Below are 7,892 nucleotides of genomic sequence, written 5' to 3'. Positions count from 1 at the left end.
CACCTTAGATTTCAAAGGATTAAAAGGGAGACTTCAAAGGTCAAGGGAGTGGGTCCTTTGACCCACTCCCACTACCCCAAGCCTCTACACATATTCTCCCAAATTCTCCTTGATTAAGTTAGATTCAGTTACCTTCAATGAAACTTCATTTGAATTCCCCATGAGAGGTATTAAGTATTGTACATTTACTTTTGTTGATGAATTTTATATTCCATGCCATTCTAGAGATTCCAAGATTTGCAAGCTTCTATGAGCAACTTTTGTAGTGATTTGTTAGGGTGTGAAAAAATTTATTTTTCCTCTTTCCTATTCAAGTCCTGAACTAATTAGAGTTTGCAGCAAAATGAAGCATGCTCAGTTAATTTGAATTTCAGGTAAGCAATGTGTAATTTTTTTTTAGTATAAATACATTCCAAATATATCACAGAACATACTTATAATAAAAAATGGTCATTTATTAGAAATTCAAATTTCACTGGGTATACTGTATTTTTATTTGCTAAGCCTGGTAATACTCAATAGTAACTGAGAAATACAATTACAGGGTAAATCAGACATGAGATTAAAATATTACATTTGCTATTGATATAAGAATCAATAGCTGGGCATGGTGGCTCACACCTGTAATCCCAGCATTTTGGGAGGCTGAAGAGGGTAGACTGATTGAGCCCAGAAGTTCAAAAAGAACCTGGGCAACATGGCCAAACCCGGTCTCTACTAAAAATACAAAAATTAGCTGGGCATGGTGGTTCAGGCTTGTTGGCCCAGCTACTTGGGAGGCTGAGGCAGGAGGATCAGCTGGGCCTGGGAAGTTGAGGCTGCAGTGAGCCATAATTGCACCACTGCACTCCAGCCTGGGTGACAAAGTGAGGCCCTGTTTCCAATAATAATAATCTTCATCATGAAAAATATTTATAAAATAATTAATACATTCCAGAGATTTTTGACTTTAATACTGATCTGAATACTATAATAAATTATAACTGAAAACTTTAAGAGCTTTGGATTTTCCAGGTAGCATAGTTCAATAGATAATTTGCTAAGATCTAGAAAGGGTTGAAGGCAGATAACATTTTTTTTAATTTAGGACCTAAAATCTTTGAAAAGTGGAAATTGCATAAAAAAGAACTTTTTACATTTTCATTGTAATTTTAGCACATATAGATAAACATTGTTAATCTCTGGGTGTATTTCCCTCTAGTCTTCTGTGTGTGTGTGTGCGTGTGTGCACGTGCATGTGTGTATGTATGTATATTTGGACCGAATTTTATATATATATATGTGTATACACACACACACACACACACACATATATAGAATGATGAATTGGTATTACATTCTCTCTTCTGCCTTCTTCCAATCTCTCCAGCTCTGCAGCTTTTATCTTTTCTTATTCATTTTAGATTTCAAAATACCAATCAATGACTTATATGTCAACATTCAATAAACACTTCTTAAAGGAATAAAGGAAAGGCTATTATAAAATGATGAATGGGAGAAAAGTTAGGAAAACTCAAAGTATTTCTCACTGAGTGGCTAGAATGGTACTTCATAAAAGCAAGCATTCAGTAAGTGGTACCAGAAGTGTTCACAAGAGGACAAGAGGTGTACCAAATAGTCACCAGTACCAAGTACTGTTTCTAGCCATAGAAGCTGTGGATGTTGGAGGAAACAGGTGATTTGGGTGGTCTTTACTTGGATCTGATGTACTTCTGCACTAATTCCACTCAACGAAATTGAGTTGAAGCTAATCATTCTTCTTTCAACAAACATTGATTGGAACCTTTCCTTGCTCCAGGGACAGAGATGGGAAAGTAAAACATGATTGTTGTCACCATAGAATTCCACTTTGGGGAAATTAAATTGGACAATAAATACAAAATATTCAACAAGTGATATGGAAAATAAAGCAGGATACTATGGAGGAAAAAAACAACAGGAAACATATTTGAGTGAGGAGAAACTATGAAGGTCTCTCTGAGGCATAAATGATCAGTGGTGGTATTTTGCAAGGAGGAAAAGCACATAGAAAACAAAGGGAACAACATAGATAAGGAAACTGTAGTGAGAAATAATTTGGCTTATTGGAGGAAGTGAAAGACTAGCGTCATTCAATACATGGAAAGTGAGTCAAGTGACAGGGTAGCATGAGGTTGGAAAGGCAAGAGGCCATGTTGCAAAATATATTTTAGGCTACATAAAGGATTCATTATTTAATTCTAAGCACAAGAAAGAGTTATTGCTTTGTCATAAATGACCAACAATATCAATAGAGAATTTTTAAAAAATAACAGCAGTATAAAACGATGCACTGTACACAATTTAAAGAAGCTCAGACTAGACCTAATGCATTAAGTGAAAATACAATTCTATAGTCTTTACTTGGAAAAAATCCCTGGTTGTCACAAACAAAACATCTAAATTTTCCTTTGTAAAAGGAAAGCATTTCTGATTTTTTCGATGTGTTTATTTGGTATCTAAGTTACCTAAGCCATGACATAGTCACTTTTACAAATATTTAGATAAGTATTAATAAACCCACTAAAATCCTACTTTTAATTCTTAAGTATATGTATTTATATTATCTAAGTATTCCTTTCATTAACAACGATGACAATAATATTTTTAAAAAACTAAAGCTTGAGAGAGGAAAAACTTAGTAGCAGCTTTTAAAAACTGTACTGAATGCTATCTCAAGCTGCAAACGCCAGAGTAAAATTCACAGTTGAGGTGTAGAAAGAGTGAAAGCTGGATGATGTTTTGGAATCAGAATCAAGTTTAAAGCAAAAACCCTATTCACCTACACCAGCTGTGAAAACCAAGATGAAAAGCATACCATTTTGTAAACAAGTACATGAATTAGTCTATTTAATTTAGAATGAGTGATTTAACTATGTTAGACAACACAAAGAAACTTCAGCCCAAGAAAGACTAGATACTACTCATAACAGAGCCAACAAATGTCAGAGTTGGAAAACTTGAGAGAAAAGTGTTAAGACTGCTGACATTTATATGCATGCGTAGACCTCAAAAGTTGGAAACCAGAGAATATTCTGTAGTAAGAACACCATTAATGCACTGTGTGATACAGTTTCCTGCTCTAGTAAAAGCCTCTTTTGATTTCAAATGTTTTCCTTAAAAAAAAAAATATTTGCTAAAGAACACGAAATTTATTGAGTCTATGTGAAATGTACATAGTGTGTGGTTACCCTTGCAGATGAATGTGGCAACCCATCCATAACTAGATGTAGTAACAGTGGGACTGATAGTACATCTAAGAATAATCACTTCATGTTAAGATGTGGTCTCTCTTTAATCCAGTATGATATTATATTAGTCTATGTTTTCATTACATTATTTCACAAGGGCTTGTGCCCCAAGTACAGTGTCTGAGATATAGCAGGTACTTAAAAATTAAGGCAAATTACTGAGTAAATGAATATATTAATCTTTGTTATTGATATTAAAACAAATAGTGAAGGGTTTCAGAACAGTTTTATATTTGTAGAAAAATAGAAATGGAAGTACAGAGATTCTCAAAATACCCTCCCCCTTCCTGCATAGACTTCCCTTATTGTTAGTATCTTGCGTTAGTTTGAGACATTGGTTACAACTAATGAACCAATATTAATACATCATTATTAATGAAAGTCTATGGTTTATATTAAAGTTCACTACTTTTGTTGTACAGTTAAATGGGCTTTGGCAAATGCATGATGTCATGCGTCCACCACTGTAGTATCAAACACAACAGTTTCATGGCCCTAAAAATGCACACTGCTTCGCTATTCATCCCTACCCAGCCCTTCCCAACTACTGGCAACTGGTGATCTCTTTACTGTCTCTATATTTTTGCCTTTTTCAGAATGTCATATGTTTGAAATCATACCACATGTAAGCTTTTCAGACTGGTTTCTTTCGTTTAGCAACAGGCATTAAATTTTCCTTTGTCTTTTCATGACTTGATAGCTCAGTTATCTTAAATTTCTGAAAAATACTCTATTGTATTGATATACTACTATGTGTTTATCCTTCATCCATTGAAGAATATCTTTATTGTTTCCAGTTTTGGACAATTATGAATAAAACTGCTATAAACAAAGTATTCCTGATTTCTCTCCCCCATTCCTTATAGCATTGCCATTTATTTCATTTGTCTACATACAATAATCTCCCAATACATTGTGGCTATTACTATTTTGAAAAACTATTATTAGATGAATTAAGAATAAGAGAAATAAGACATTTTAATTTCTCTCAATTTATTGCTTCTCCTCTGCTCTTCCACTTTTTATGTAGGTCCACATTTCTGACTTATATCATTCTCCTTCCCTCAAAAGAACTTTTAGGGTTTCTTGCAAGCAGACCTGCTGGTGACAAATTTCCTCCATTTATGTTTGACTGAATGAGTCTTTATTTCTCCTTCATTTTTGAAAGCTAATCTGAATGAATACATAATTCTAGAATTTGGGTTTCTTTTTTTGAAAACTCAATATTTCACTTTACTGTCTTCTCACTTGCATGGTTTCTGATGAGAAATTCAGTGCAATTCTTACATTTATTCCTTTAAAGATAAGGCCCCCACCCCCTGGCCTGGATTATTTCAGGCTTTTCCCTTTGTCTTTGGTTTTCTGAAGTTTGTATACAATATTCTTAGGTATAGGTTTTTGTTATTTATTCTACTTAGTGTTCTGACTTTCCTGAATATGTAGTTTGGTGTCCGTTATTAATTTTGAAAAATACTGTATTATTATTTCAAATATTTCTTCTCTTCCTTTCTATCTTTCTTATACTTCTGGTATTTCCACTCTGCATATGTTACATCTTTTGTAATTGTCTTACACTTCTTAGATATTCTGTTGCATTAAAAAAAAGTTTTCTCTTTATATCTCACTCTTGGAAGTTTCCATTGACATATCATCAAGCTCACTGGTTCTTCCCTTGGCCATCTGTTTACTACAGAGCCCAACAAAAGCATTTTTTATTTATATTACGGTGTCTTTGATTTCTAGAATTTCCTATTGATTCTGTCTTAGAATTTCCATCTTTCTGCTTAAATTACCTACCTGTTTTTGCATTTTGTCTACATTTTATTAATTACTAGCAAATTAGTTGTAATTGTTTTAAATTCTCTATGTGATAATTCCAAAATTTGTGTCATACCTGAGTCATGTTCTGATGCTTGTTTTGTTTCTTCAAACTTTTTATCTTGCCTTTTAAAATGCCATGTAATTTTTTCATTGAAAACTTGACATGATGTATTATGTAATAGGCACTAAAGTAAACAGGCATTTGGTGTAAAAGTTTTATGCTAATCTGGCAGGGTTGGGCTGTGTTGAATGTCTGCAGTAGCTACAGGTGCCACGACCTTCTGTTTCCAGTAATTTCCTTGTTGAACGTTTTCTTCCTCTTGTCTTTGGGTTTTTCTAAAAACTCCTTATTAAACAGAGTCTGTGTCTTGAACCTCTCTCAGTTGTGAGCTCTTGTTTTTATACAGAAGCCCTGTTGATATAGTGGTAAGGTGTTGGGAGGGTAACCATTCTATCATCTTACGATTAAATATATGATTTCAGTAGATTTGTGTTCCTGGGCTGTAACATTCAGAATAAATCCTTAGCCCCCTTTTTTCTTTTCCTTATATGAGATAGGAAGTTTAGGCGGGGCTAGAGTTGGCTGGTTGCCCCTAGTTCACACCAGATACGGCCCTGTTAGAGTAGGTTTCCTTGAAGGGCAGGCCTTTTTTATGCTTTCTTTGGGCATATTTCAAAATATTTGCTAAAGTCAGTAGAAGAAAGGCAGGATTCATAAAATTCTAAAACAATAAAACTGACTAGAGAGAAAAATGATAGTTATGGGAAAAAAACAAAATAATTTTTTGCCATAATTATGTTGTGAATTTCAACACAATATAGTTATTATCTCAGAAAATAGATCACAATGAATTCAGCAGAAATAAAAATTCAAAGGTAAAGTAGAAGAGGTCTGTGTTGAAATTAAGCATAAGAAACTGCAAATTTTAAAAGAAAGATATTAAGCATAACAAACTGCAAATTCTCCAGAAAAGATTGGAAACATAAAGTCCCAGTCAACATCTGGTGACGTTACTAAGGTTCAAGGTCTACTAAACATCTTACTAGCCTCCAGAGAGAAACAGCAAGTGACCTAAACAGTGAAAAATAATTAGGCTGGCTTCAGACTTTTCCACTGTAACTGTTAGTGCCAGAAGAAAATGAAGCAATGTCTCAGTGTCCTAAGAAAAATGTTACCCAATAGTATTCCATTAAAAAATTTGTCCCCAGAATAAAAATTTCACAGATATTTTTGAACATGCAAGGACTCAAAGAACATAGTACATATAAGACTTTTTGGAAAAAAATGATCTGGAAATGAATATAGCTGAAAAGGAAAATTGTATCAAAATTGTGCATTTCAAAAATGAAGCAGAGACAAAAAAAATTATTAATATTAAATAATCAATTTAAATAAACCATTGTTTTATTTATCTAAGGTCAAACATCAGTATGTGTGTATCAAAGGTAAAACATACCGTGTTGTATAGTTGGACAGAGAGAATAGCCTGGATCCACAATTTTGTATTATAATTTCAGCTCTAAAACATTTTAGCTGTATCATCTTGGGAAGGTTAATAATAGAACTATTTCATAGGTTTCTGTGAAGATTAAATGTGCTATAATATATAAATAAAAGTGCAGGAGATATAACTCTTCAAAATATACTAGGTGAAGCAAGCAAACACTGTGCTTTGAGATATAGGAAAATTTTAGCCAATCTCTGTAAAGTAAAAACATAACAAACATTGTAAAGTAGAGTAAAATGTAAATGTAAATAGGTGCATTTAACTTGGAAATATTTTAAAAATAATTTTACTGTTAATATTAATCTTTGAATGGATAATTTTCAAAATAAAATTTCTTGTAATGAAACATTTATATGACTCGTATCTATTCCTTCAATTACAGTATTTTTCTAATATGAAATATAAGTAGAATTACATATTTTAAATCAGATATCTTACATTTTGTATATTATTTACATGTAGCTATATATATCACCTCTTTTATCTGTAGATATGCAGAGACAATAATACTTAAGGTGGCAAATAATACTTAAGGTGGATTACTTTTCCTTTTTCTCAAAATAATTATAGTTCTTGAATTTTTACTTTTACTTACAACTTTTATTTTAGGATTGAGAGGAGGTACGTGTGCAAGTTTGTTACATGAGTAAGTTGTATATTGCTGGGGTTTGGTATACAAATTTCATCACCCACCTAATGAGCAGAGTACCCAATAGGTAGTTTTTCAATCCTTACCCCCTTCCCAAGCTCCACCCTCAAGTAGGCCCCAGTGTCTATTATTTCCTTCTTTATGTTCATGTGTACTCATTGTTTAGCTCCCATTTATGAGTGATAACATGTGGTATTTGTTTTTCTATTCCTTCATTAATTCATTTAGGATAATGGCCTCTAGCGCTAGCCACATTCCCGTAAAGGACATGATCTCATTCTTTTTTATGGCTGCATAGTATTCCATCATTTACATGTACCACATTTTCATTATCCATTATCCGGTCCACTGTTTATGGGCTTCTAGGTGGATTCCATGTTTTTGCTATTGTAAATATTGTTGCAATGAACATATGAGAGAATGTCTTTTTGGTAGAACAATTTATATTTAATTTGTTGTATACCCATATAACAGGATTGTTAGTCAACTGATAGTTCTAAGTTCTTTGGGAGTTTCCAAACTGCTGTTCACAGAGGCTGAAATATTTAGATTCCCACCAGCATTGTATAAGAATTCTCTTTTCTCTACAACTTTGCTAACATCTGTTATTTTCTGACTTTAATAATACCCATTCTGACTGATATA

Source organism: Homo sapiens, chromosome 12 (genome assembly GCF_000001405.40).
Source record: "Homo sapiens chromosome 12, GRCh38.p14 Primary Assembly".
Lineage (NCBI taxonomy): Eukaryota > Metazoa > Chordata > Mammalia > Primates > Hominidae > Homo > Homo sapiens.
Note: the sequence above shows the minus strand (reverse complement) of the source record.